This window comes from Homo sapiens, chromosome 19 (assembly GCF_000001405.40).
Source record: "Homo sapiens chromosome 19, GRCh38.p14 Primary Assembly".
Classification (NCBI taxonomy): Eukaryota; Metazoa; Chordata; class Mammalia; order Primates; family Hominidae; genus Homo; species Homo sapiens.
In genome coordinates, this window is record NC_000019.10 from 54,173,194 (window position 1) to 54,199,437 (window position 26,244).

Genomic DNA, 26,244 nt, shown 5'->3' on the forward strand with positions numbered 1-26,244 from the left:
GTACCTGGCCAGCAGGTGGCCCGGAGGGAGTAAGGTACACTTCCTGTGGTTTCTCAGGGCCGCTGATGCGAAAGGTCTCCTGGGAGCTGAAGTCCCCGTGGTGCCCCGGGCCTCACAGTTTGGTTCCTGGGCTGGGCGGGGGGGCTGTACCTCACCCTGGGACTTGGTGGACTAAGTCCTTCCCACCGTTTATCACCCAGATACCTGCACGGACACGATGCCTTTGTGCAACACTTTATTGGGAAAGATTTACACACGGTGACCTGTCATAGGCCAAGCGATGAGAAGAGGGCGCCAGGAGTGCTGGGGTCCCGAGGTGGCTCAGATGGAAGCCATGGGACGGCCGTCCCCAGGCCCGCGCACCCGCACCTCAGTTTCCCCTTTGTGAAATGGGAAGCTTATGCTTCCTTCCAAGTCTGCAATATTGGTGCGATGAGCTAAAAGTGGAGCGAAAGACACAAGGAAGAGGCTTCCCACTCCCAGGACCTGCCCCCAAGCTCCGACCCCACATTGTGGATGCAAAGAAAGGGAATTTGCCCAAAACCCACTGCCCAGGGGCCCCTTCCGTTTTGGGGAAGTGCAGTGCTCTCTGGATACCCAGAAGCTGGAGCAGGGGCCAGTGACTCTTGTCTGGACAATACTTTGATTTTGTAGGAGTGGAGGTGGCCTCTGGGCAGAGGGCAGGGAGGACACCCCCGGGTCTGCTTCAGTTGCAGGCAGGGTATTTAGCTGGGGAAGAGGAAATTCTCTCCAGGACCCTCTCCAAGGTAAGGACTCTTTCTGGGGAGGAGACAGCAGCCTGGTTCACAGAATTCCCGGGACCAGCTGGCAGAGGGAGCGTCGTGACAGCTTACTCCTCCCGGAGCTTCTCCGGGGCAAGGCTGGTGGGCTGGGATGCTGCCTTCCGCCGGCTGGGGCTGCCCCCACCTAAAGCCAGCCCCAGCCCCAGGGCTGCCAGGGCCAGGAAGTGGATACAGAAGTAGATGGAGGCCCAGTACCGAAGGGTGTCGGCCAAGGAGAGCAGCACGAAGCCCATGCACATGTAGTCATAGGCGCGCATCTTCAGGAACCAGTGCACCCAGTCCCAGGCCTTCTGGCCCCCTGGGCTCAGCCGCCCCCGCAGGGCTGACTCCAGCCGGCCCTCGGCAGCCAGGCACAGCGGGATGGTCAGGAAGCTCAGGTAGTAGCCCGGGTGGAGGCCGTGCCAGTAGGCGCTCAGCAGCATGGTCCAGGCGCTCCTGAGGAGGAGGCTGGGAGTCAGGACCTACGAGTCCAGGTCCCCAGTGCCCACTGCCCCCAGATCCAGGAGTCCAGGACCCCAGCCCCTCCTCCCTCAGACCGAGAAGTGCAGGCCCAGCCCCTCCTCCCTCAGACCCAGGAGTCCAGACCCCACCCCTTCCTCCCTCAGACCCAGGAGATCAGGCCCCAGTCCCTCCTCCCTCAGACCCAGGAGACCAGACCCCACCTCCCTCCTCCCTCAGATCCAGGAGTCCAGACCCCACTTCCCTCCTCCCTCAGATCCAGGAGACCAGACCCCACCTCCCTCCTCCCTCAGATCCAGGAGACCAGGCCCCAGGCCCTCCCCACTCAGACCCATGACCCTAGCTCCGGAAGGCGGAGGAGGCTACAGGCCTCTGTCTCCTTCAGGGATCCAGGAGCTCGCAGCCTTCCATACACACTCAGTCCTATCAAGACCCTCTTCTTCTTTAAAGATTTAACATTTTATATTCCACTGCCCTTCCTCTCCCAGGACCAACAAGTCTTAATTCTTCAGCCCAGTGGTTTTTTTTTTTTTTTTTTGAGACAGAGTCTCGCTCTGTCGCCCAGGCTAGAGTGCAGTGGCGCGATCTTGGCTCACTGCAAGCTCCGCCTCCCAGGTTCACGCCATTCTCCTGCCTCAGCCTCCCGAGTAGCTGGGACTACAGGCGCCTGCCACCACGCCCGGCTAATTTTCTTTTCTATTTTTAGTAGAGACGGGGTTTCACCGTGTTAGCCAGGATGGTCTCGATCTCCTGACCTCGTGATCTGCCCGCCTTGGCCTCCCAAAGTGCTGGGATCACAGGTGTCAGACACCACACCCGGGCAGCCCGGTGGTTCTTAACCTGGGGTCCCAGGTCTGGCATCAGCATCACCTGAGAACTTGTGAGACATACAAATCCTTGTCCCCACCCCTTTTGCACCAGAAGCCCTGGGGGTGGGGCCCAGGAGAAGTCTTCCAAGTTAACAAGTCCTCCAGTGACTCTGATGCCTGTTAACATTTGACAACTCCTGCCTGGCTCATGAAGATCCAGAAGTCCCTGGCCTGTGGTCCTTCCTTATTCTGGGCCCAGGAGATATGTTCCTCTTCCTCCAAGGCCCAGCACCATCTTTCCTCACTCTTTTTATTTTTTTGGAGACAGAGTCTCGCTCTGTTGCCACACGACAAGGCTCACTGCAGCCTCTGCCTCTTGGATTCAAGCGATTCTTATGCCTCAGCCTCCCAAGTAGCTGGGATTACAGGCAAGCGCCACCAAACTCAGCTAATTTCTGTATTTTTTGTTGTTGTTGTTCAGACGGAGTCTCGCTCTGCCGCCCATGCTGGAGTGCAGTGGTGCAATCTCGGCTCACTGCAACCTCTGCCTCCTGGGTTCAAGTGATTCTCCTGCCTCAGCCTCCCGAGCAGCTGGGACTACAGGTGCCCACCACCATGCCAGGCTAATTTTTGTATTTCTGGTAAAGACGGGGTTTCACCATGTTGGCCAGGATGCTCTCAATCTCTTGACCTTGTGATCCACCCGCCGTGGCCTACCAAAGTGCTGGGATTACAGGCGTGAGCCACTGCACCCAGCCATTTTTGTATTTTTAGTAGAGATGGGGTTTCACCACGTTGGCCAGGATGGTCTCGATCTCCTGACCTTGTGATCCACCCACCTTGGCCTCCCAAAGTGCTGGGATTACAGGTCTGAGCCACCGCGCCCAGCCTCTTTTTTTTTCTTTGTAAAGATGGAGTCTTGCTATGTTGACCTGGCTGGTCTCGAACTCCTGAGCTTAAGTGATCCTCTCACCTTGGCCTCCCAAAATACTGGAATTACAGATGTCAGCCATTGCACCTGGCCAACTCTTGTTTTCTTGAGAAGGGAGGACCATTGGCTTTCTGGTTCTTCAAGAGTGCGGAGGCTGGGTGCAATGGCTGGCACCTGTAATCCCAGCACTTTGGGAGGCTAAAAATACAAAGATTAGTCTGTCATGGTAGCACGTGCCTATAATCCCAGCTACTAGGGGGGCTGAGACAGGAGGATTGCTTGAACCTGGGAGGGAGAGGTTGCAGTGAGCCGAGATCACGCCACTGCACTTGAGCTGTAAAATAAACAAAAACGATGGATCCTGTGCATTTTAAGGTGTTTAGGAGCATCCCTGGCCCCCACCCACGACATCCGACTAGCACCTTCCAGTTACAACAACATGTCTCCAGGGATTGCCATGTGTCTCCTGGGGGTGCAGCAGCAGCACAGTTGCCCCCAGTTGAGAAGCACTTGTCTAAACACTGGGGTGCTTTGACCTGGCCTCAGCCCCAGAGCTTTAAGCGTCATCTATACCTGGCCAGATGCAGTGGCTCATGCTTGTAATCTCAGCACTTTGGGAGGCTGAGATGGGAGGACTGCTTGGGGCCAGGAGTTTGAGACCAGCCTGGTCAACACAGTGAGACCTCATCTCTATACATTTTTTAAAAAGTAAAAAAAAAATAATAATAATACTTAAAAAATTTTGGCCGGGCATGGTGACTCACGCCTGTAATCCCAGCACGTTGGGAGGCCGAGGCACGCGGATCACTTGAGGCCAAGAGTTCGAGACCAGCCTGGCCAACATGGTGAAACCCTGCGTCTACTCTTGGCACGAGAATCACTTGAACCCAGGAGATGGAGGTTGCAGTGAGCTGAGATCACAACACTGCACTCCATCCTGGGTGACAGAGCATCAAAATACTAATACTAATACTAATACTAATACTAATAATAATATCCTTCTTACTCCCAAAACTTACTCTTCCTGGGTCTTCCCCTTCCACATTTATCTAATTAAATTAAATTAAATTAATAATTATTTTTGTTTGTTTTTTGTGTTTTTTTGTTTGTTTGTTTTTGAGACAGAGTCTCGCTCTGTTGCCCAGGCTGGAGTGCAGTGGCGCGATCTCGGCTCACTGCAAGCTCCGTCTCCCGGGTTCACACCATTCTCCTGCCTCAGCCTCCCCAGTAGCTGGGACTACATGCACCCGCCGCCACACCCGGCTAATTTTTTGTATTTTTAGTAGAGACAGGGTTTCACCGTGTTAGCCAGGATGGTCTTGATCTCCTGACCTTGTGACCCACCCACCTTGGCCTCCCAAATTGCTGGGATTATAGGCATGAGCCACCGTGCCCGGCCTATTTTATTTTATTTTGAGACAAAGTCTCTCTCTGTTGCCCAGGTGACCTTGGCTCACCGCAACCTCCGCCTCCCGGGTTCAAGTGATTCTCTTGCCTCAGCCTCCCTAGTAGCTGGGATTATAGGCGCCCGCCACCATGCCTAGCTAATTTTTTGTATTTTTAGTAGAGAAGGGGTTTCTCCATATTGCCCAGGCTGGTCTTCACCATATTGCCCTGACCTCAAGATGATCCACCTGCCTGGGCCTCCCAAACTGCTGGGATTACAAGTGTGAGCCACCATGCCTGGCTATGAGTTCTACTTCTGTTTTTTTTTTTTTTTTTTTTTTTTTTTTTTGAGACGGAGTCTCGCTGTCGCCCAGGCTGGAGTGCAGTGGCGAGATCCCAGCTCCCTGCAACCTCTGCCTCCCGGGTTCAAGCCATTCTCCTGCCTCAGCCTCCCGAGTAGCTGGGACTACAGGCGCCCACCACCACACCAGGGTAATTTTTTGTATTTTTAGTAGAGACAGCATGTCACCATGTTGGTCAGGCTGGTCTCGAACTCCTGACCTCATGATCCACCTGCTTGGGCCTCCCAAAGTGCTGGGATTCCAGGCGTGAGCTGCCGCACCCGGCTGAGTTTCTGCTTCTAAAGGCTGCACAGATAACAGTGTCAAGCACAGAGTCTCCACTCGAGAAATATTGGAAGAATGAAAAACAATAAAAATGAATACACAGCACGCACTTACCTGTCAGGCCTCACATTAAATACATTTCACATTTTATCACATTTAGTCCTTCTATCTACCTATGAAACCAGTAATAAATAGCATTCACTCCATTCAACACTTGAGGCAACTAAGAGGTCAACTAACTCCTCAAGGTTTCTCCATAACCTGGACGGCCAAGATTCCAGGAAGGCTGGCTATTGAGTCCACAGGACTCAGTACATTGCTTCTGCTGAGTGAGGCTGACTTTACAGAAGTAGCAACTGAGGCCCCGAGAGGGGGAACGATTTTACACCGGCATGCTGCCACTATAATTAGAGGCAGGGCAAAACCAGGCTAAACAAACTACAATTCCCATGAGCCTCCGGGGGCAGGGGCCCAGCCAGGGACGCTGCAGGCTACCCTGGGGCCTGCTGGGAGATGTAGTTCTGCAGTGTCACCTGAGACTGGGCGGGCTCACTCACCGCAGGACATAGGAACGGGCAGGTGCGCTCTTGTAGATATACTGCGCCAGCCACCACTGCACCGTCATGTTCCAGTACCGCATGCCATCGCGCACCCGCACGCAGAAATCTGTGCTGTAGCAGTCGATGTTGCGGATGGTCTCATAGTCATACTCCAAGGAAGCCGCCTTCTCCGGACTGGGGGGTGGAGGATGAGGGTGGGGGACAGACATGCAGCTCAGCCAGGCCCCCTCCCGACGCCTGCTAGTGTCCCAGCCCCGGATGCTAAGGAAGGGATCCTGGCCAGGCAATGGCCCTCTGGCTGTCAGACTTGCTAGGGCAGCAAGGGAGGGTGGCCCAGAGGGTGCCTGTAGGGTAGGAAGGTGGGTGGGCTGGGTGGTACAGTCCACTGACAATGGGGTTCTTCTTCTTTTGGTACCTAATGGGGCCCGCCACAGCCATGAAAAGCCTTGAAGGGCTATGGTTGCTAAGCTATGAGTCCTTTAGCAACCAAGCTCAGTATATTCAGAGAAGCCGCCAAGGATGGTCCCTTCTAAATTGTCGGACACTGCAGTTGCCAGGGAAGTTGTGGTTATCATCCCTAATAACAAGGTGCTTCACGGTTGCTAGGGAGATGTTCCAGGCGCCAGTGGGGTCCCCATGATCTTTGTTGCTAAGGAAAAGGCATTCCTTAGCAACAATGCCTAGGATGTTTAGAAAGGCTTTTAGGAAGGGGCTTTTTTCCTGGTCGCAGTGATTATTGGAGAAGTGTCACCTCTAGCAATACAGTGGCTCCCTCATCACTCATGTCGACAGCCCCAGCAGTGGGAAACACTGGCCCATATGAAGCCTTGGTGGCCTCTGATGACAGGAGGGGAGCCATCCTTTAGGAGTGAGGACCGAGCAGATTTAGAAAAACCTTCAATTCCTGCTTGGCTTTACTAGGGGGACATCCTCTCTCTAGCAGCTGGAGGTCAGGGCACGGTTATTAGGGCAGTGGTAACAAATTCCCGTGGGGGTGTCACTACCCCCACAACAGAATGGCAGTTTGTGACGACTAGGGGACAACCCTAGCAGGGAGTAGTAGTTCATCATTTACATCAACAGGCTGTTCCCCCAGCCGCAGTCCAAGCCCCTGGGGGAAGGCTGACTGCAGCTGTCAGGAACACAAGGGCAGTCTACTCCTGGTTGCCGGGGGTGCCATCTCCCTAGCAACACGGGGGCAATACTTCCTCAGCCACAAGAGAGTCCACAGCTATGGCCGTGCGACTTGCCTAGCAATGCAGGTGCCGGGGGGTGGAGCCTCTCTGGCAACAAGGGTCAACCCATAGTTTCCAGGGGGAGGTTTGGCTTCCTTAGCAACAGTGTAACTGTAGTTGGTAGGAATGGCGTGCCCTCTGCTGGGGAACAGCACTGGTCAGGGATTGGAAATTGCTATTTCCTTGCAGAGGGCTGCTGAGGGCTGCTATGTGAGGACATCCCACGGGGTGGAGCAGTGCTAGCTCCTAGCAACAAAGGGGCAGTGCAGGGAGTGCCGTATCTGCAGCAACAGAGCAAAACTTCTGGTAAAAAGGAGGTGAGCTACTGTTGCTAGGGATCCTGCTTCCCTAGCAAATAGTGGCGTTCTGTTGCTAGGGAACCGTTTCCCTAGCAACAGAGGGTGACCCACCACTAGCAAAGGATGGCATCCCCAGCAAGCAGGAACAATCTGGTTCTGGGGGGTGACACTTCTGTGGCAACAGAGGGGTGGCACAGGGTTGCTAAGTTACCACCTTTTCCTAGCGACAGGGGGCAGTTCACCACACTGCGGGGTGACAAGCGCTAGCAACAAGGGGCATCTGTCAGTACCAGGGATCTTTTCCCTACCGACAGGGGCTGGCAGGCCATGGTTGCCGAGGGGGCGACACTCTGCTCAAAAAGGTGGTGGCCCTGGCCCCTTGCTCCCCGCTCTCCTCCCGGCTAGGGGCAGAGCCAGCCCTTGGAGGTGGGGGCTGCTGGGTCTTGGGAAGCCTCCCTCGCGCCGCCTGACCTGCTGGGGGGTGGGCATTGGAGGGTGGGGCCGCCTCCGGCCCGGGCTTTGGCGGCCACGGGGTAGGCCCCAAAGCCGGCGGCAATGCAGCCGCACTCGGCGGCAATCCAGGCCACGTAGAAGCGCATGCGGAAGGCGAAGAAGACGGGGATCATGTAGAAGAGGCGGGCGGGCAGCGGGCGGGCGTAGAAGGCGTCCTCGCGCACGGCCTCCAGCGGGAAGAGGTGAGAGGAGAGCAGGAACAGCAGGCCGAAGAGCGGGGCCGGCCAGGCGCGGCGCAGCAGGGGCCGCAGGCTGGGCACTGCCCCGGGGAAGGGCTGCTCCAGCCAGTCCAGGTAGGTGCGGTAGCGGAAGAACGGGCCTGTGGGGCGGGGAGGGAGGGCCGCGGTCAGACAGGCAGGTGGGCAGAGCTCAAGTCTGCAGGAGGAGGACAGGGAGCTTGGAAGGAAGGTGGGAAGAGGGAGTGAGAGGGGCAGAGACTGGGCGCCGGGGAGACCCCAAGGGTAGGGACTGAGACCCTGAGAGATGGGGATAAGGAACGAGAGACAGGGGGGACAAGAAACTCAGAGAGACAGAGACAGTAACAGAAAAACAGACAGAGGGGCCGGTGCGGTGGCTCACACCTGGAATCCCAGCACTTTGGGAGGCCTAGCTGGGAGGACTGCTTGAGCCCAACAGTTGGACAGCAGCCTGGGCAAAACGGCAAGACCCCATCACTACAAAAAATAAAAATCAGCCAGGTGTGGAGGGCACCTGAATTCCCAGCTACTGGGGAGGCTGAGGCGGGAGGATCGTTTGAGCCCAGGCTGCAGTGAGCAGTGACTGAGCTACTGCATTCCAGCCAGGGAGGGAGGGAGGGAGGGAGGGAAGGAGTGAAGAAGGGAAGAAAGAAGGGAGGGAAGGAGGGAAGGAAGGAGGGAGGGAAGGAGGGAAGGAAGAAGGGAGGGAAGGAGGGAAGGAAGGAGGGAGGGAGGGAAGGAGGGAAGGAAGGAGGGAGGGAAGGAGGGAAGGAAGGAGGGAGGGAGGGAAGGAGGGAAGGAAGGAGGGAGGGAAGGAGGGAAGGAAGGAGGGAGGGAGGGAAGGAGGGAAGGAAGGAGGGAGGGAGGGAAGGAGGGAAGGAAGGAGGGAGGGAGGGAAGGAGGGAAGGAGGGAGGGAGGGAGGGAAGGAGGGAAGGAAGGAGGGAGGGAAGGAGGGAAGGAAGGAGGGAGGGAAGGAAGGAGGGAGGGAGGGAAGGAGGGAAGGAAGGAGGGAGGGAAGGAAGGAGGGAAGGAAGGAAGAAGGGAAAAGGGAAGGACGGAGGGAAGGAGGAAGGAAAGAAACTAGGAGATAGCTGTGGCACTTTAGCTACAATATGATGGTGGTCTGGCCTAGGGAGGAAGCAGTGTGATTCACAGAAGGGACCGGGGTTAAAATTTTTATATGTTCACAAAGGCCGTATGTTTAGGTCAATGTAGCATGGGAAGATAAAAGGAAAAAAAAAACAAATTAAAATAAATAAATAAGACCACATGTTGTATGATTCCATTTGTAAGCGCAATGTCCAGAACAGGCAAATCTTTACAGATAGAAAGTCAATTACTGGTTACCAGGGATGGATGGAGGTTTGTGGGATGATGGACATGGGGTTTCTTTGCAGGGTATGAAACTGTTCTGAATATAACTACACAGTGGTCATGTCTGCACAACTCGGTGAATATACTAAAAATCAGGGAGTTGTATGTTTTGTGTTTTGTTTTTTTTCAGGAAATTAAAGAAGCCAAGAGTTGTATGTTTTAAGTGGATGAGTATGTGAATTAGAGTTCCCTAAAGCTGTTATTGGAAAAAAAACCTTTGATGAGGTAAACATTAATGAAAAATATTTTCTTTTTAAAATTTCACATATATATACACATACACACATACATATATATACACACATGCACACACACATACATATGTATTTTTTGAGATGGAGTCTTGCTCTGTTGCCCAGGATGGAGTGCAGTGGTGTGATCTTGGCTCACTGCAAACTCCGTCTCGTGGGTTCAAGCGATTCTCCAGTTTCAGCCTCCCAAGTAGCTGGGATTACAGGCACACACCACCATGCCCGGCTAATTTTTGTATTTTCAGTAGAGACGGGGTTTCACCATGTTGGCCAGGCTGGTCTCAAACTCCTGACCTCAGGTGATCTGCCTGTCTCAGCCTCCCAAAGTGCTGGGATTACAGGCGTGAGCCACTGCGCCCGGCCCTTTAATTTTATATTTATTTATTTTTTAAAAATAAAGGTTTAAAATAAAGGGACGGGATCTTGCTATGTTGGCCAAGTTGATCTTGAACTTTTGGCCTCAAGCAATCCTCTCGCCTCAGCCTCCGAAAGTGCTAGGATTATAGGCATAAGCCCCCACGCCCAGATGAAAAATATTTCCTTAAGCTGAAAGTGGACCCTAAGCCGTGAATATTTGTTGTCTGGGAAGCAAAAACATCAGGTTGACATAGATCTTTACCTCCTTTATCTCTTCTCTTTGCTCCCAATACGCTACAAGGAGAAGAGCAAGGAATTGCTTAGGTTGAGACAGCCAGCTTCTACCCCAAAGCAGCTCTGGTCCAGCGGAGGTGTGAGACGTAGACCCAGACACATGCCCACCCTCACAGCAGCAGATGCTAGGATGGAGGTTGCCCTGGGCAGGGCGGGAACACAGAACAGGCACTCAGGGCGGAAGGGGACACAGGAGACAGAGCGGCAGAGTTGTTAGGGCAGCCCCACTCACCTGTCATGATTCCCACGTAGCAGTAGCTGTAGCTGAGTGTCTCCATCAGGGAGGGCACGTCGGGCAGCAGCCCCAGGGTGGGCCCCTTGCTGAAGCCTGAGGCCATTTCCTTCCTCTGGGCCAGATGCAGGTCCTGGACTTCACTGGCCAGGCTCACCAGCTGGGCAGAAGGGGGTGGGCAAGGGGCCAGGTCAGACTCTGGGCCCTTCCCCACACCCATCTCCCTTGCGCGGCTGCCCTCGGCAGCCAAGGGGTGCTGGGTGCCCGCAGCTCTGCCCATCTAGGTTGTGTGTAACGCCTCTAGCTGGGCGGTGTTCCCCAGGGCTCAGTCCCAGGCCCTCCTCCCCTTTCCCTGTTCTGTGCTTACCTGCTCTCACGCAATCACGGAGGTTTCGATACTATCCACACGCTGAGGACGCCCAAACGCTACCCCAGCCCCAGACCTATCCAATCAAGTGGCTTATTGGCATTTATACTCGGATGTCTCCAGGCACCCCAAACGCACTGGAAACGGAACATGATGTTACCCACCCCACAAGGTAGACCCTCTTCTAGTGTCACCCCTCAAACAACAGGCCACCAAATTGTTCAAGCCAAAAATCTCCCTCACTCCCCAAATCCGATCCTTTAATCTCTCTCTCTTTTTTTTTTTTTTTTTTTTTGAGACAAGTTTTGCTCTGTCACCAGGCTGGAGTATACTGGTGTGATCTCGGCTCACTGCAACCCCCACCTCCTGGGGGCGCAAGCAATTCTCATGCCTCAGCTGGCCAGGCTGGTCTCGAACTCCTGGCCTCAAGTGATCTGCCCGCCTTGAAATCCCTTAAGTTTGAGTCTGTTGCCTCTTTCCATCTCCACTACTGAGCTGAATATGTTGTACTCTCCACCCTTTCCCACCAGTCCCAAGGTCCACCCTATATCAATAGATCTCCTTCTTCCAGCTTGTGGCTGGGTTGTCAGTAGAAATCCCTGGCTGGAGACAAAGTCAGGAGAGGGAGGGTAGGGCTTTTATTCCCTTGTAAGATGGCCTTGGGCTGGCTGTCACCCTTGATAGATCATTTCAAGGTGGGTGGCTCTACACACCCTTTAAAAAAAATAATTTTGGCCGGGCGCGGTGGCTCACGCCTGTAATCCCAGCACTTTGGGAGGCCGAGGCAGGCGGATCACCTGAGGTCGGGAGTTCGAGATCAGCCTGACCAACATGGAAAAACCCTGTCTCTACTAAAAATACAAAAAATTAGCCGGGCATGGTGGTGAGTGCCTGTAATTCCAGCTACTCAGGAGGCTGAGGCAGGAGAATCGCTTGAACCTGGGAGGCGGAGGTTGCGGTAAGCCAAGATCGTACCATTGCACTCCAGCCTGGGCAACAGGAGTGAAACTCCGTCTCAAAAAAAAAAAAAAAAAATTTAGGGCCAGGTGTGACGGCTCACACCTATAACACTAGCACTTTGGTTGGCCTAGGCAGGCAGATCACTTGATGTCAGGGGTTTGAGACCAGCCCGGCCAACATGGTGAAACCCCATCTCTACTAAAAATATAAAAATTAGCAAGGCGTGGTGGTGGGCGCCTGTAGTCCCAGCTACTCGAGAGGCTGAGGCAGGAGAATCGCTCGAACCCGAGAGGCAGAGGTTGCAGTGAGATCACACCACTGCACTCCAGCCTGGGCAACAGAGCGAGACTCCATCTTTAAAAATAAATAACATTTAAAAAATTAATTTTTTGTAGAGACAGGGTCTCACTATATTGCCCAGGCTGGTCTTAAACTCCTGGCCTCCAGCAGTCCTCCCACTATGACCTCCCAAAGCGCTGGGATTATACAAGTATGAGCCACTGCACCAGGCCTACACAACCCTTTTTCCATCCAGGTACCACAACCTGACCCATTTCCCCTGGGCCTAGGGTTGGGAACGGCTCCTTCTGCCGGGCTGGGGTTCAGGCACCATCCCTTCTTGCTCTTCTACATCCTGCCCAATTGGTGGCCACTCCTTCAGTCATCCTAAATGCGCGTTTCCTGCTGCAACTCAGACCTACCCACAGCCAGCCAACGGCCTGTATCAAGCCACCACAGTTTGTCACCTGGACTCGGACAAAGGAGGATCCCTTTATCTGAGTCCATCCCATCTTGCCCTGTTCCACTTCAATTCTCCTTCAGCATCCAGAACGAGTTTTCTTTCTTTTCTTTTCTTTTTTTTTTGAGATGGAATCTTGCCCGGGAAGGCCCAGGCTGGAGTGCAATGGCGGGATCTTGGCTCACTGCAACCTCCACCTTCCAGGTTCAAGCAATTATCCTGCCTCAGCCTCCTGAGTAGCTGGGATTACAGGTGTGAGCCACCACACCCGGCTCATTTTTGTATTTTTAGTAGAGACGGAGTTTTACCATGTTGGCCAGGATGGTCTCAAACTCCTAACCTCAGGTGATCTACCCGCGTCAGCCTCCCAAAGTGCTGGGATTACAGGCGTGAGCCACCCGCAGCTGGCCTAGAATGAGTATTTCTATTTGTTTATTTATTTTTGAGATGGAGTTTTGCTCTTGTTGCCCAGGCTGGAGTGCAATGGTACGATCTCAGCTCACCACAACCTCCGCCTCCTGGGTTCAAGCAATTCTCCTGCCTCAGCCTCCCGAGTAGCTGGGATTACAGGTATGTGCCACCACGCCCAGCTAATCTTTTGTATTTTTAGTAGAGACAGGGTTTCTCCATTTTGGTCAGGCTGGTCTTGAACTCCCGACCTCAGGTGATCCGCCTGCCTCAGCCTCCCAAAGTGCTGGCATTACAGGCGTGAGCTACTGTGCCCAGCCAGAACGAGTATTTTTAAACATTTAAAACTGGTCACATTGCCTCTTCTGGCAGCAAACCAAAAATCCCCTCTTCCAGCAGATCTCAATCCTCCACGGGAAGAAGTCCAATGTCCTCACGGTCTCCAGCCAGGCCTAGCACGGTGTCAGCCCTGCTGCCTGTTCCCTTTTGCTCGTCCCAGAAAGTGGATGTGGCTGGTGTAGCCTGTGGAACCCAGCCTGCTCCCCTCCACACATCCTGCGGCCTGAAATGCTCCTCCACGAACCCCTCTCTCATCCAACCTACTCCTGCCACCACTGAGCTCCCACAGGGCACACTGAATGCTGGGAAGGCCACTCCCTACCTAGCATGACTGCTGTGTTCACGGATAAGCCGCCAGTAGGAAACCATGACTCTGTGGGTCTGGGGTGGGCCCTAGGATTCTGTTTTTACCCCTCTTCCCAGGTGATTAGGAGCCAGACCTGGATGCCCTAGTTTTGTTCCCTTCACCAAGTACCTTCTCCCCAGAGCTGGTTTTTCTCCTTTGCAAAATAGCTGGCTACAGAGATTCAAGGACAGCATGTTGGTAAACCACCCAGCTGGGCCTCTGGCACACCGCAAGCACCCAATGGCACCTACTGTTACCCTATGTGGGTTATTTCCTCACCCCAGGAGGAGCTGGGAGGTGAAGACCTGCCCAAGGGCATGTGAATGGGGAATGCTGTGCCCAGGGCAGCAAGTGAGGTGACGTCCCACCCCCAGGGTGTGTTGGAGGTAAAATCCCGGGGAGCCACTGAAGGGGGAGGTAAAGTGGGAGGTGAAGGGGCCCACAGGGAGGCTGGAGGGGAGTGGCAAGCCCCGAGTCTGACCTTCAGCGTCAGCAGCAGCTGGACGGCATTGGTGAAGGGCGTGGGAGTGGGCAGGCCCAGGAGGCTGAGGGCTCGGAAGAACAGGAGATAGGAGAAAGTCCAGGCCAGAGCCAGGGCGTGGCAGGAGCTGGGCAAAAGCAGGAGGCGCACTGTGTTGGGCACAGAAGTCTCGGCCTTGGCCACTCACTCCACGAGTCCAGCCACCAATCCTCCCCCAGCTCTCCCCATTCGTTTAGAGACAGAAACACAGAAGGGCAGAGAGGACAGGAGGGTGGATGTAGGGACCGAATGAGTATGATTGAAACAGTGGGAGAAGAGGCTCAGCCACATAGAAACACACACCAACAGAGAATGAGGTTAAGAGAAGCTTCGGGTGAAGACCCTGCAATCCTCCACTTTTTCTTTATTTCCGAGGTCCAGGGCTCAAGAAGAGAGAGGTGGATATGAATGAATATGAACGGTGGCCAGGCCAGCAGACACACTGTCCACCTCTCTCCATGACATGGATGTAGCGGACTGGGACAAACACACAGGGACCAGACGCAGAAGGCAGGGGAGAAAGAAAAGCAGATGAAGGCCGGATGCGGTGGCTCACGCCTGTAATCCCAGCACTTTGGAAGGCTGAGGTGGGCAGATCACAAGGTCAGGAGTTCGAGATCAGCCTGACCAACATGGAGAAACCCCAGCTCTATTAAAAATTCAAGATTAGCCAGGCATGGTGGAGCATGCCTGTAATCCCAGCTACTTGGGAGGCTGAGGCAAGAGAATCGCTTGAACCCGGGAGGTGGAGGTTGCAGTGAGCCAAGATCGTGCCACTGAACTGCAGCCTGGGCAACAGGAGCGAAACTCCATCTCAGAAAGAAAGAAAGAAAGAAAGAAAGAAAGAAAGAAAGAAAGAAAGAAAGAAAGACAAACAAACAAACATGAAACAGAGAAATGAGCTGATCAACAAGAGACAGCTAGACATGAGGCAGAAGCTGAAAAAGACTCAAAGAGGAAACAGGTTGCTTCCCCCTCTCCCCTCCTCTCCCTCTCCTCCCTCCACCAAATTCTCACCAGGGCTGGGCCTGAATGAGGGCCCAGGTCCCGAGGATGGTGACCAGAGAATGCAAAGTGTGGGGGCCACAGGTGAACAGGGTGAGCCCCAGGCCCACAGCGGCTGCTCCCCATCTCTTCAGCCCAGGACCTGCAGGGGGAAGGGACAGCATAAGCCTGGAACCTTCCAGAGGGTCCCCCCCCTTTATTTTCCACTGGGGAGGGAGCCTGACTCACCGGCTTTCTTAAAGAGGAAGCCGATGGGGATGGAGATAAGAAGAACCACTAGATACGTCCATTCTTCAGGCGACATGGTCTGGGGGAGGGGCAGAGATTCACAGTGAGAACCCAGGAATCCAGGCCCCCTGCCTCCTCCCTCTTCGAGGATCCAGGAACCCAGCCTTCTAGACCCCAGTTTTTGAGGATGATGGAGTATGAGCCTCAGCTCCTCTCCTTTGAGAACCTAGCAACCCAGACTCCAGCCCCTTCCTCCTTGGAGGAGACAGGAATCCACCCCCAGCCCCTCCTTTGAGCGCACAGGCCTCCAGCTCTCCTGTCCTTGGAGAACCCAGGAAAGTGTGGGGATCTCCCAGCACCCAAGCCCCTCCTTTGCGAACGCAGAAATCAAAGCTACTCCCCGCACCCATACTGGGGACCCAGATTTGAAGACGCCCCTCTTTTAAAAACCCAGAAACGGCACCCCTCCCGGACCCTTCCTCTTCGACAGCCCAGGAATCTAGACCTCCGAGCCCCCTCTTCCAGCGAGGATCCAGGAACCCAGACCCCCTCTTTGGATCCCCCATCCCCCGGCCCTTGTGAAACCAGATATCCGGACCCCCCAGCCCTTCTCCTTCGAGACCACCCAGAGGAGCCCGGGTCTCCAACCTGCACCTCCTTCGGAGCTCCACACCCCTCTCCTACTGAGAACCCGGGGATCGAACACCCTCCCCTCCCCAGGCCCAGGCCCAGGCCCAGCCCCAACCCGTCCCGCGCACCCCAGCGCATCCCCGGCAGAGCCACAGGCGGTTGCGCCAGCCCCGAGTTCCAACGCGCCTCCGGGGCCGCCCCGCACCCGCCAGCCCGCAGAGACCCTGCCGCCGTGTAACCTCGCCTCGCCACTGGGCGCCGCCACCCTGGCCCACCTGAGCTGCTCGCCGGGCAGGAGGCGGCCGAGCAGTCCCAGCCCGCTTGCCGCCGCAGCTCCGGCCACGCCTCCCCCGCCCAGCGCGCCCCCGCGCCGCCTGCTCCTTCTGGGCGCCCGCCGGGCTGCGCAGATCAGGCCGGGGAAGAAGCCACGGTCAGGGCCCCGGGCGGGCAGGGAAGAAGCCCCGGAGCAGAAGCCGAGAGCGCGAGTCGGCAACGGGATTCGAGTCCAGGTCCACACTGGGATCCGAGCTCCGAGTACGTGAAGGGGCGGGCCTTCGGGCTCGGAACAAGGAGGAGCCAAAAGCTTTGGACCCGAAGGGGAACAGACGGGCTCTGGAAAGGAGGCGGGGTCTGGAGCTCGGCGTGAGGAATGAGGCGGGGTCTCCCTTCGGGTTCCTTCGGGCACAATCGGGAGCTTGAGTTCTCCGGAAGCGGGGCCACAAACTTCGGCTCACTTCGGCAATAGTCGAGAACGGAGAGCTGAGGCCACTGTGGGCGGAGCCACATGTTTCGGCTTTCTTCGGAGGTAGTCGAGTCCTTAGGGTCACTGTTCCGATGTGGGCGGGGCCACAGACTCGGCCGGATGTGGGTGGGGCCACAAGCTTCGGTTTACTTCGTAGATAGTTGGGTACAAGTGACGCTAGGATGATAGGCGGAGTCAACAGGTTCGCCAGACACCCATGAGTATTTACAAGGGGGCGGGGCGAAAGCGACTTGCCCTCAAAGGGGCGGAACCCCGAGGGCCGGCGTGCGCCTACGGGACCGGGCCAGGATGACGATCCTCAAGTTCCCAAGTAGAGGAGAGGAAGCGGCAGAGGGAGGTGCGCTCAGTGGGGCGGAGCCAAGGTGGCCCCCGCGGGAGGAGGGCGGGGCTTCGGTCCTGCGAGGGGCGGGACCTGACTTCCCGCGGCGCTGATGGGGCGGGATGACGAAGTTGACGAGGGTGTCGGCATGAGGGGGTGGAGCAAGGAGCGCGTGGCGCGGTGCGCAGTGGGTGGCTCCACCTCGACTGCGAATTACTGTTTATGAGGTGACTCGCTGGTTCTATCGGTGGACAGTGGGACATTCTGAAGGGAGGCAAGGAGGCGGACTGAGCGCTCCCAATTGGGGTGAGCCCGCCCGAGCGGAGAGTGGACGGCGGGTGTCCAGGGGGCGGGGCTTTCGGCTGTGGGGTTCGGTCGTAGGGCGGGAACTCCCCAACTGGGGTGCGCTGGCGCTCGGAGGGGGCGGGGCCACAGGCCGCGAGGCTGCCGGGAGCCGATGACGCCCGAACGCCGAACCTATTGCGTCCGGGAGGAGGCGGGGCTACGGATTCGGCCGAGCCGAGAACACCCGAACGTCAAATTGCTGGCGTTCGAGAAGGGGGCGGGGCTGCGGATTCGGTGGAGCCGAGGACGCCCGAACGCCGAACTTCCTGTGCTCGGGAGGGGGCAGGGTTTTGTACTGTGGGAGTCTGAGAGCGAGGAGGTCCGAAAGCCGAATCACAGTCGTTCGGAAAGAGGAGGAGCGAAGGCTCGAGCGTCCGGAAGAGGGTGTGGCCTCGGCGGTGCCTTAGCCTCCAGAGCTTCTGACCGCTGACGGGAACACCCGAAGGGGGACGCCCACTTTGCAAGAGGGTGGTGCCAAAATGGACCTTTGTAAGGGGGCGTGTCGCCGCGCTTGCGGAGGTTTGTTTTTCACGCTCCAAGGCGCAATGGTAGGTACGGCAGTGCGGGCACAGAGCGGGTGCCGACCGCAGGGTCACAAGGGTAGAGCGGGACCCTGGGGGCTTGGCGAGGGGAGAGGGTCGGGGGCTTGTCTCCGGCGTCTCGTCTCCGGCGGCCGCGAGGCCTGGTGGGATCGCCCGGGGGCGGGGCCTGGCGCTCGGGCCCAGCAGGTGGTGAACGGCGGCTGAGCGAGGCCCCGCCCCCTGAGGCCTAGGGGCGGGGCTTCGCCGAGACCCCGGAGGCTTTGGGTGCGCTGCAGCGGTCCGCGGCGCGCAGCTGTTTCGGTAACTGCTTTGCCTCCCGGCTCCCGCAGGAGGATGCTGGTGGTGGAGGTGGCGAACGGCCGCTCCCTGGTGTGGGGAGCCGAGGCGGTGCAGGCCCTCCGGGAGCGCCTGGGTGTGGGGGGCCGCACGGTAGGCGCCCTGCCCCGCGGGCCCCGCCAGAACTCGCGCCTGGGCCTCCCGCTGCTGCTGATGCCCGAAGAGGCGCGGCTCTTGGCCGAGATCGGCGCCGTGACTCTGGTCAGCGCCCCGCGTCCAGACTCTCGGCACCACAGCCTGGTAAGGGGGCGGGGCTCGAACTCGGGTTCGGTGGGAGCGGGACCTGGGAGTCAAGTTTCCTGGCTTCTGAAGGGACCATAAGCTTGGAGGTTCCAGCGAAGTGTGCTTCTCAGGCCCTGACATCCTTCAAGCGCCAGCAAGAGGAGAGCTTCCAGGAGCAGAGCGCCTTGGCAGCTGAGGCCCGGGAGACCCGTCGTCAGGAGCTCCTGGAGAAGATTACGGAGGGCCAGGCTGCTAAGAAGCAGAAACTAGAACAGGCTTCAGGGGCCAGCTCAAGCCAGGAGGCCGGCTCGAGCCAGGCTGCCAAAGAGGATGAGACCAGTGATGGCCAGGCTTCGGGAGAGCAGGAGGAAGCTGGTGAGCATGGGAGGTGGAGTCCAGGGACCACGGGAAGGAGAGGAGAGATCTTTTAGGAATTTTAGCTGGGAATCCAGTGCCTGGGTCTCCCTGAGGGTGAGAAGACTTTACCCCTTGAATTTACCAAACTCTTCTCTGTACTCCCCACCAGGCCCCTCGTCTTCCCAAGCAGGACCCTCAAATGGGGTAGCCCCCTTGCCCAGATCTGCTCTCCTTGTCCAGCTGGCCACTGCCAGGCCTCGACCGGTCAAGGCCAGGCCCCTGGACTGGCGTGTCCAGTCTAAAGACTGGCCCCACGCCGGCCGCCCTGCCCACGAGCTGCGCTACAGTATCTACAGAGACCTGTGGGAGCGAGGCTTCTTCCTCAGTGCGGCTGGCAAGTTCGGAGGTGACTTCCTGGTCTATCCTGGTGAGTATGGGTTGGGGCCTCTGGTTGCTGTGCCTTTCCATACGATCCCAATGTATTCTGCGTTTTTCTTTTTTTTTTTTTTTGTCTTAATAGAGGTGGGGTCTCTTGTTGCTTAGGCTGGTCCCTATTCCTGGGCTCAAGCAATCCTTCCACCTCGGCCCCCCAAAGTGCTGGAATTATAGGCCCAGCTGCATTTTTCTTTTTTGTCTCACTTTCTCTTAGCCTCTGAAATTCATAGACAGACAGGAAACATTTGGGAGCTCCCGAACTCATTGGGCAAGCAGTTTAACGACTTTTATTAAATGATTACTGTGATCCAGAAGATTCACTTAGAAGTAGTTAGACATCAGGCTGGGCGCAATGGCTCACGCCTGTAATCCCAACACTTTGGGAGGCCAAGACAGGTGGATCACCTGAGGTCAGGAGTTTGATACCAGTCTGGCCAACATGGTGAAACCCCATCTCTACTAAAAATACTAAAACTAACTGGGCGTGGTGGTGGGTGCCTGTATTTCCAGCTACTCGGGAGGCTGAAGCAGGAGAATCATGTGAACCCAGGGGGCAGAGGTTGTAGTGAGCCAAGATCGTGCCATTGCACTCCAGCCTGGGGGACAAGAGCGAGACTTTGTCTCAAAAAAAAAAAAAAAGCCTAGAAGTGGAATAGTTGTGTCCAAGAGCATCTGTTTTAGAGTATCTATAGTGATGGCTGAAATGATCTCAGATCTCCTCCCAGTGGTCGTTCCCGTGGCGTCCAGCCGTCTGCCATTGGTCACTGCTTCAGTGCCTCTCTCCTTCCCCCAGGTGACCCCCTCCGCTTCCACGCCCATTATATCGCTCAGTGCTGGGCCCCTGAGGACACCATCCCACTCCAAGACCTGGTTGCTGCTGGGCGCCTTGGAACCAGCGTCAGAAAGACCCTGCTCCTCTGTTCTCCGCAGCCTGATGGTAAGGTGGTCTACACCTCCCTGCAATGGGCCAGCCTGCAGTGAACTCCAGAGACCTAGGGGATGTGGCTGTGTCGGCAGCAAGAGCCTTTCTGGATGTTCCCCAGCTCTTCTCTGGGAGTCTAGAACATCCTCCTACCTTTCTCCGCGGTTAGTTTTTGATTCCAGGTTTTCGAACACTACATCTTTTTTATGTTCTTCCTTGTTTCAAAGCACTTATTGGCTGTGTTTTTGTAGTTACCTATTTTCACACTGTGAGCTTCCCGAGAATGGGGCCTGGGTTTGATTCATCTGTTTTCTACAGGGTTTAAGTCTCAGGAGGTCTCAATAAACTTGGTATATAAATGTTCATGATTTGAATGTTTGCGACAGTCCTGGAACCCGTGGATGGTCTCATCTGCATGTACAGGTGAGAAAAAGGCCTGGAGGAGGGGGACTGACTTGCCCAAAGTCACACACTTAGTAAATAGCAGGCCTGGCCTTTCAAAATTGGTTTTTCTGACTCCTAAATCTGCACTCTTTCTACCTCACTAAACTTCCTTTTGAAAAGATTTCTATGAAATTTCCCAGATGCATACAAACGTTATAAATAAAAATATAGGCTGGGCACGATGACCCACACCTGTAATCCCACAGAACTTTTGGAGGCCAAGGCAGGGGGATCGCTTGAGCCCAGGAGTTTGAGACCAGCTCTGGCAACATTGTAATACCCAGTCTCTACAAAAAATAATTTAAAAAAAAATTAGCCAGGGATCCCTTGAGCCTGGGAAGTTGAGGCTGCTGTGAGCTGTGATTGCACCACTGCCCTCCAGCCTGGGAGACAGAGCAAGAACCTGTCTCAAAAAATATATATATGTGTGTGTGTATATATGTAAATATACACACATGTATGTATATATATGTGTGTGTATATATATATATATTATGAAAGGAAATGAGTATTGTAATTTTAGGAGTTCAGAGCCTGGGGAGAAAGGAAGGACTCTGGAAGGCGTTCTGCTTTTTCATGGCCTGGGTAGTGGTGAATTTTTTTGATACTGTATATTTATATTTTAGACTCTTTTTTGGATGTGTTATATTCTGCAATTTTTATAAAAGCTAAAACACATGTATTTGTAAAAAATTTGCACTTATGAAATCATTTACCCATGTTTTTGCTTAAGAAAGTACTAGAACACTACCACTATTCCAATAATTACACCTTTATCTTATCAATGTGCAGTTTTATTTTGTCACGTTTATTTTGTCAGTGTAATACATTCACATGGTGAGTCTGGGCGTGGTGGCTTATGCTTGTAATCCCAGCACTTTGGGAGACCAAGGCGGGCGGATCATGAGGTCAGGAGTTCCAGAGCATCCTGGCCAACATGGCCCGCCTCTATGAAAAATACAAAAATTAGCCGGGCGTGGTGGCGGGCGCCTGTAATCCTAGCTACTCCGGAGGCTGAGGCAGGAGAATCACTTGAATCTGGGAGGTGGAGGTTGCAGTGAGCCAAGGTCACGCCACTGCACTCCAGTCTGGGCGACAGAGCTAGACACTGTCTCAAAAAAACAAAAACAAACAAAAACTTCCACATGGTAAAATTCTGGGGCTGAAAGTCTCCACCTCTAGTTCTTCCATTTCTTCCCCCCATGTTTCATTCTTTCTCTTTTTTGTGTGAATTGAGCAGCCTCTGGAACCAGAATAGGTTTAGAGAGACTCCCATCTCCCCTCTTTCTTGCCATTCCCAGTAAACAGACTTCATAGAATCTCAATTTCCTGTAAGTTTAGATTAATTTAAAATATGACACTGGGCCAGGTGTGGTGGCTCACACCTGTAATCCCAGCACTTTGGGAGGCTGAGGTGGGCAGATGAGTTTGAGATCAGCCTGGCCAATATGGTGAAACCCCATCTCTACTAAAAATACAAAAAAAAAAATTAGCCGGGCGTGGTGGCATGCGCCTGTACTCCTAGCTACTCAGGAGCCTAAGGCAGGAGAATCACTTGAATCCGGGAGGCAGAGGTTGCAGTGAGCCAAGATCGCACTACTACACTCCAGCCTGGGCAACAAGAGCTAAACTCCATCTCAAAAAAATGAAAAGAAAAAAAATGACGCTAACCCCTGTCTGGCCAATACTCTCTTTGTGCCTGCTTCATAATTGGCTTTGTAAGTCTATTCTCCACCCTTTCTCCTCTCTACAACAAAGTACTTAGAAGTCTCATTCCCTCTGTCATGAGTCTCTCCTCTGAAAAGTTCCTCATTTAAAACTCCTGTGGCCAGATGTGGTGGCTCAGACCTGTAATCCTAGCACTTTGGGAGGCCAAGGTGGGAAGATCAGTTGAGCCGCTGAGCTCAGGAGTTTGAGACCAGCCTTGGCTGAACATAGTGAGACCTCATCTCATCTCTATTTAAAACAAACAAACAAAAAAAAACTTTTGTGACTGGTGTCCCCCCATGTTGTCAGTCAACAAATTCTATAGGTGCCATGTTCAAAGCACTGTGGATCCACAGTTAGGCCCCACCCTCCACCTTCACTGCCAGTATCTTAGAAAAACCAAACCATGGCTCATTTGATATTGATAGCTTCCTAACTCATCCCCTGCCTTCCATTCTTGCCCCTCTGTTGTCTGTTTTCAACAGAGCAGCCAGAATCATCGTTTTTTTTTTGTTTTTTTGTTTTTTTTTTTTTTTGAGGCGGAGTCTCGCTGTCGCCCAGGCTGGAGTGCAGTGGCGCGATCTCTGCTCACTGCAAGCTCCGCCTCCCAGGTTCACGCCATTCTCCTGCCTCAGCCTCCCTAGTAGCCGGGACTACAGGCGCCCGCCACCTCACCTGGCTAATTTTTTGTATTTTTAGTAGAGACGGGGTTTCACCATGTTAGCCAGGATGGTCTCGATCTCCTGACCTTGTGATCCACCCGCCTCGGCCTCCCAAAGTGCTGGGGTTACAGGCGTGAGCCACCGCGCCCGGCCAGAATCATCATATTAAAAGATAAGTCAGACCATGTCACAGCTCTGTCTAAAACTTTCCTGGAGTTTTCCATCTCAGAGTAAAACTCAAAGGTCCTACTTTGCAGCTTCCTCATGAACTGGCCATGTGCATTCTCTTCCTTGCTTATTATTATTATTATTATTTATTTTTTTTATTTTTGAGACAGAGTCTTGCTCTGTTGCCCAGGCTGGAGTGCAGTGGCACAATCTCGGCCCACTGCAGCCTCTGCCTCCTGGGTTCAAGTGGGTTCAAGCGATTCTCCCACCTCAGCCTCCCAAGTACCTGGGATTACAGGCGCCTGCCACCACGTCAGGCTAATTTTTTGTATTTTAGTAGAGACAGGGTTTCACCATAATTGCCCAGGCTCGAACTCCTGAGCTCAGGCAATCCGCCCACCTCAGCCTCCCAAAGTGCTAGGATTATAGACATGAGCCACCGTGCCCGGCCAGCTTTGTTCCTCTTTACTGCTGGATATTCCATTGTATGGACATAACCCCATTTTATTTATCCATTCATCAGGTGATTGGCATTTGTTTCTAGTTAAGGACAAGGTTTTGGTTTTGGTTTTTCTTTTATTTACCCTTGTTCATGCAGTATCCCCAGGTCCAAGAACAGTTCCTGGCACACAGCAGTCAATACATTGTTGCTAAATAAATGAGTGGCTTAAACTATAATTTTTAAATCAGGGCTGAGACAATTTGGAAATTATAATTTCTCCTACATGACTTTCTAAGCATATTTTAAATAAATATACATACGTTAAGGTCATTTTTATTAATGAAAATTGTAGCATACTATGCACACTTCTGCATCTTGCTTATTGGATATGCCCAGGCTTGTCTCATTTTTGCCAACAGCTACATGGTTTTGCGTCCTATGGATGGGGCATAATTAGATTTTATTACACTTGTACAAAAGGAAAGGAATTCAGCTCCCCAAGCATGCCCAGCTGGTCCTTGGCAACCCATGATGGAAACCAAGGGTTCCTCTTATATTACCCGTGCTCCTTTCAGAGAGGAAGGGCTAGAGGGCTCCAGCCTGAGTGAGAGAGAGAGAGGAGGAAGCATGAGGGGTTTGTGGAAGAGGGCCTGGTGCCATATGACTGGACCATGCTTCTGAAGAGGATCAGGGTGAGGCCAGATCTCATCAGTTGACCCTTGAGCAACATGGGTCTGAACTGCTCGGGTCCACTTTTATGCAGATTGAAAAAAGTAAAGGTTACACAGAGCATGCCTGCCTCTCCTGCTTTGCCTTTTACCTCCTCCACCTCTGGCACCCTGAGACAGCAAGACCAAACCCTCCTCTTCTTTCTGCACCTCTGCCTACTCAGAATGAAGACAAGGATGAAGACCTTTATGATGATCCACTTCCACTTAATGAATAGTAAATATATTTTCTCTTTTTTAGAATTTTCTTAATATTTTCTTTTTTTTTTTTTTTGAGACGAAGTCTCGCTCTGTCACCCAAGCTGGAGTGCAGTGGCGCGATCTTAGCTCACTGCAAGCTCCGCCTCCCGGGTTCACGCCATTCTCCTGCCTCAGCCTCCCCGGTAGCTGGGACTACAGGTGCCTGCCACCACGCCCGGCTAATTTTTTGTATTTTTAGTAGAGATGGGGTTTCACCGTGTTAGCCAGGATGGTCTCGATCTCCTGACCTGGTGATCCGCCCGCCTTAGCCTCCCAAAGTGCTGGGGTAACAGGCATGAGCCATCACGCCCGGCCAATATTTTCTTTTCTCTAGCTTAATTCATCATAGGAATACAGAATATAATACATATAGCATATAAAATATGTGTTAATTGACTATGTTATTGGTAAGGCTTCCAGTCAACTACGAGTAATGTTTTTTTTAAATCCTGAGACAGTGTCTTGCTCTGCCAGCTGGGCTGGGGTGCAGGGGCATGATCTTAGTTCGCTGCTGCCTCAACCTCCTTGACTCAAGCAGTCCTCCCACCACAGCCTCCCAAGTAGCTGGAACTACGGGCACACACCACCACACCCAGTTAATTTTTCTGTTTTCTGTAGAGTCTGGGTTTTGCCGTGTTGCCCAGGCTGGTCTTGAACTCCTGGGCTCAAGTGCTCTGCCCACCTCAGCTTCCCAAATCCCACCTGGGGTTACAGGTGTGAGCCACGGTGCCTGGCCTAGTAGTTAAGTTTTGGGGAAGTCAAAAGTTATATGCAGATTTTCTTTCTTGATTTTTTTTTTTTTTTTTGAGGCAGTCTTGCTCTGTCGCCCAGGATGGAGTGCAGTGGTGCGATCTCGGCTCACTGCAATCTCCACGTCCTGGGTTCAAGTGATGCTCTTGCCTCAACCTCCTAAGTAGCTGGGATTACAGGCACCTGCCACCACGCCTGCCTAATTTTTGTATTTTTAGTAGAGACCAGGTTTTGTCATGTTGGCCAGGCTGGTCTCGAACTCCTGACCTCAGTTGATCCGCCGGCCTTGGCCTTCCACATAGTGCTGGGATTACAGGCGTGAGGCACCGCGCCCAGCCTATATGGAGGTTTTCGGCTGAGCTGGGGGTCAGTGCCCCTCGCCCCCAGACTGTACAGAGTCAGCTGTGTTAAGATATTAAGCACCTTCAGTACACAAGACTCTGTGCTGGTTTTCTTTTCTTTTTTTTTTTTTTTTACTCTAAATCATCAAACCCTATGAGGAAAGTCCTGTTACTTTCTCCCATTTAGCACTCTTGAAGAGGCTAATTTGCCTAAGATCAAGAGCTCGTCAGTGACTGCTGAGGTTCAAACGCAGATCTTTTTTAAGACTTGAGAACCTACAGGTTCAACCACCATTATAAAACCATCTCTGTAATCACGAGGCACCCGGAATTTGTGGAGCTTGGACTTCATCCTGAAGGGAGTGAAAACTTATGGAAGTTTTTTCCTTCCACGTTTCCCCCTTCCAGATGAATAATATACGCGTGTTCAAGATACAAAAATGCATAAAATTTGGCCAGGCATGGTGGCTTACACCTGTAATCCCAGCACTTGGGGAGGCTGAGGCGAGTGGATCACTTGAGCCCAGGAGTTCAAGACCAGCCTGGGCAATATGGCAAAACCCCGTCTCAAAACAACAAAACAAACAAACAAAAAACCCATAAAACTGAACAAGGTAGTTTGTAAGATATGGAAGTACAATGCAGATGACAA

General features: G+C 53.7%; 2 protein-coding genes across 13 annotated transcripts, besides 10 other annotated features; one reads left to right on the forward strand and one right to left on the reverse strand.

Moving 5' to 3' along the window:
- Nucleotides 90–906: an enhancer, noted in NCBI's record as "H3K27ac-H3K4me1 hESC enhancer chr19:54676977-54677793 (GRCh37/hg19 assembly coordinates)". NCBI's record gives its function as "activates a minimal SCP1, AML or CMV promoter by ChIP-STARR-seq in primed H9 embryonic stem cells {active_cell/tissue: H9 hESC(primed)}" and the evidence as "EXISTENCE:reporter gene assay evidence [ECO:0000049][PMID:30033119]".
- MBOAT7 (membrane bound acylglycerophosphatidylinositol O-acyltransferase MBOAT7) lies at nt 222–16,387 on the reverse strand. 6 transcript variants are annotated; one of them, NM_024298.5, is made up of 8 exons: nt 16,145–16,387; nt 15,240–15,318; nt 15,024–15,153; nt 13,968–14,094; nt 10,328–10,487; nt 7,580–7,940; nt 5,572–5,748; nt 222–1,238 (listed from the first exon to the last, which is right to left on the reverse strand). In NM_024298.5, exons 2-8 carry the CDS (start codon nt 15,313–15,315, stop codon nt 851–853), a joined length of 1,419 nt encoding a protein of 472 aa, NP_077274.3. In that variant the 5' UTR covers nt 15,316–15,318; nt 16,145–16,387; the 3' UTR covers nt 222–850. The 6 variants fall into 6 exon arrangements, with proteins under 6 accessions (NP_077274.3, XP_011525601.1, XP_011525602.1 ...); XM_011527299.4 differs by having other exon boundaries at nt 16,109–16,387; XM_011527300.3 differs by having other exon boundaries at nt 15,998–16,387.
- Nucleotides 907–1,722: an enhancer, noted in NCBI's record as "H3K27ac-H3K4me1 hESC enhancer chr19:54677794-54678609 (GRCh37/hg19 assembly coordinates)". NCBI's record gives its function as "activates a minimal SCP1, AML or CMV promoter by ChIP-STARR-seq in primed H9 embryonic stem cells {active_cell/tissue: H9 hESC(primed)}" and the evidence as "EXISTENCE:reporter gene assay evidence [ECO:0000049][PMID:30033119]".
- Nucleotides 6,773–7,288: an enhancer, noted in NCBI's record as "H3K4me1 hESC enhancer chr19:54683683-54684198 (GRCh37/hg19 assembly coordinates)". NCBI's record gives its function as "activates a minimal SCP1, AML or CMV promoter by ChIP-STARR-seq in primed H9 embryonic stem cells {active_cell/tissue: H9 hESC(primed)}" and the evidence as "EXISTENCE:reporter gene assay evidence [ECO:0000049][PMID:30033119]".
- Nucleotides 7,289–7,804: an enhancer, noted in NCBI's record as "H3K27ac-H3K4me1 hESC enhancer chr19:54684199-54684714 (GRCh37/hg19 assembly coordinates)". NCBI's record gives its function as "activates a minimal SCP1, AML or CMV promoter by ChIP-STARR-seq in naive H9 embryonic stem cells {active_cell/tissue: H9 hESC(naive)}" and the evidence as "EXISTENCE:reporter gene assay evidence [ECO:0000049][PMID:30033119]".
- Nucleotides 7,805–8,319: an enhancer, noted in NCBI's record as "H3K27ac-H3K4me1 hESC enhancer chr19:54684715-54685229 (GRCh37/hg19 assembly coordinates)". NCBI's record gives its function as "activates a minimal SCP1, AML or CMV promoter by ChIP-STARR-seq in naive H9 embryonic stem cells {active_cell/tissue: H9 hESC(naive)}" and the evidence as "EXISTENCE:reporter gene assay evidence [ECO:0000049][PMID:30033119]".
- Nucleotides 10,433–10,932: an enhancer, noted in NCBI's record as "H3K4me1 hESC enhancer chr19:54687509-54688008 (GRCh37/hg19 assembly coordinates)". NCBI's record gives its function as "activates a minimal SCP1, AML or CMV promoter by ChIP-STARR-seq in naive H9 embryonic stem cells {active_cell/tissue: H9 hESC(naive)}" and the evidence as "EXISTENCE:reporter gene assay evidence [ECO:0000049][PMID:30033119]".
- Nucleotides 15,715–16,400: an enhancer, noted in NCBI's record as "H3K27ac hESC enhancer chr19:54692762-54693444 (GRCh37/hg19 assembly coordinates)". NCBI's record gives its function as "activates a minimal SCP1, AML or CMV promoter by ChIP-STARR-seq in naive H9 embryonic stem cells {active_cell/tissue: H9 hESC(naive)}" and the evidence as "EXISTENCE:reporter gene assay evidence [ECO:0000049][PMID:30033119]".
- On the forward strand, nt 16,248–21,339 carry TSEN34 (tRNA splicing endonuclease subunit 34). Of its 7 annotated transcripts, NM_001282333.2 has the most exons (6): nt 17,151–17,178; nt 18,168–18,414; nt 18,528–18,771; nt 18,923–19,180; nt 19,982–20,125; nt 20,429–21,339. In NM_001282333.2, exons 2-6 carry the CDS (start codon nt 18,172–18,174, stop codon nt 20,476–20,478), a joined length of 939 nt encoding a protein of 312 aa, NP_001269262.2. In that variant the 5' UTR covers nt 17,151–17,178; nt 18,168–18,171; the 3' UTR covers nt 20,479–21,339. The 7 variants fall into 7 exon arrangements, with proteins under 7 accessions (XP_047295347.1, XP_011525596.1, NP_001269262.2 ...); XM_047439391.1 differs by lacking the exon at nt 17,151–17,178 and adding an exon at nt 16,248–16,403 and having other exon boundaries at nt 19,982–21,339; XM_011527294.4 differs by lacking the exon at nt 17,151–17,178 and adding an exon at nt 16,908–16,969 and having other exon boundaries at nt 19,982–21,339.
- Nucleotides 16,401–17,082: an enhancer, noted in NCBI's record as "H3K27ac hESC enhancer chr19:54693445-54694126 (GRCh37/hg19 assembly coordinates)". NCBI's record gives its function as "activates a minimal SCP1, AML or CMV promoter by ChIP-STARR-seq in naive H9 embryonic stem cells {active_cell/tissue: H9 hESC(naive)}" and the evidence as "EXISTENCE:reporter gene assay evidence [ECO:0000049][PMID:30033119]".
- Nucleotides 18,005–18,206: a silencer, noted in NCBI's record as "fragment chr19:54695049-54695250 (GRCh37/hg19 assembly coordinates)". NCBI's record gives its function as "represses an EF-1alpha promoter that drives an FKBP-Casp9 reporter gene in an ReSE screen in K562 erythroleukemia cells {active_cell/tissue: K562}" and the evidence as "EXISTENCE:reporter gene assay evidence [ECO:0000049][PMID:32094911]".
- Nucleotides 19,051–19,567: an enhancer, noted in NCBI's record as "H3K4me1 hESC enhancer chr19:54696095-54696610 (GRCh37/hg19 assembly coordinates)". NCBI's record gives its function as "activates a minimal SCP1, AML or CMV promoter by ChIP-STARR-seq in primed H9 embryonic stem cells {active_cell/tissue: H9 hESC(primed)}" and the evidence as "EXISTENCE:reporter gene assay evidence [ECO:0000049][PMID:30033119]".

Coding starts and splice junctions, on each gene's coding strand:
- MBOAT7 (NM_024298.5), bottom strand. CDS start 15,315: ATGTCGCCTGAAGAATGGACGTATCTAGTGGTTCTTCTTATCTCCATC. Junction 15,154..15,239: donor CTTCCTCTTTAAGAAAGCCG/GTGAGTCAGGCT, acceptor TTCCCCCTGCAG/GTCCTGGGCTGAAGAGATGG. Junction 10,488..13,967: donor AGCTGCTGCTGACGCTGAAG/GTCAGACTCGGG, acceptor CCTTCTGCCCAG/CTGGTGAGCCTGGCCAGTGA.
- TSEN34 (NM_001282333.2), top strand. CDS start 18,172: ATGCTGGTGGTGGAGGTGGCGAACGGCCGCTCCCTGGTGTGGGGAGCC. Junction 19,181..19,981: donor TGACTTCCTGGTCTATCCTG/GTGAGTATGGGT, acceptor TCCTTCCCCCAG/GTGACCCCCTCCGCTTCCAC. Junction 20,126..20,428: donor CTGTTCTCCGCAGCCTGATG/GTAAGGTGGTCT, acceptor TGTTTTCTACAG/GGTTTAAGTCTCAGGAGGTC.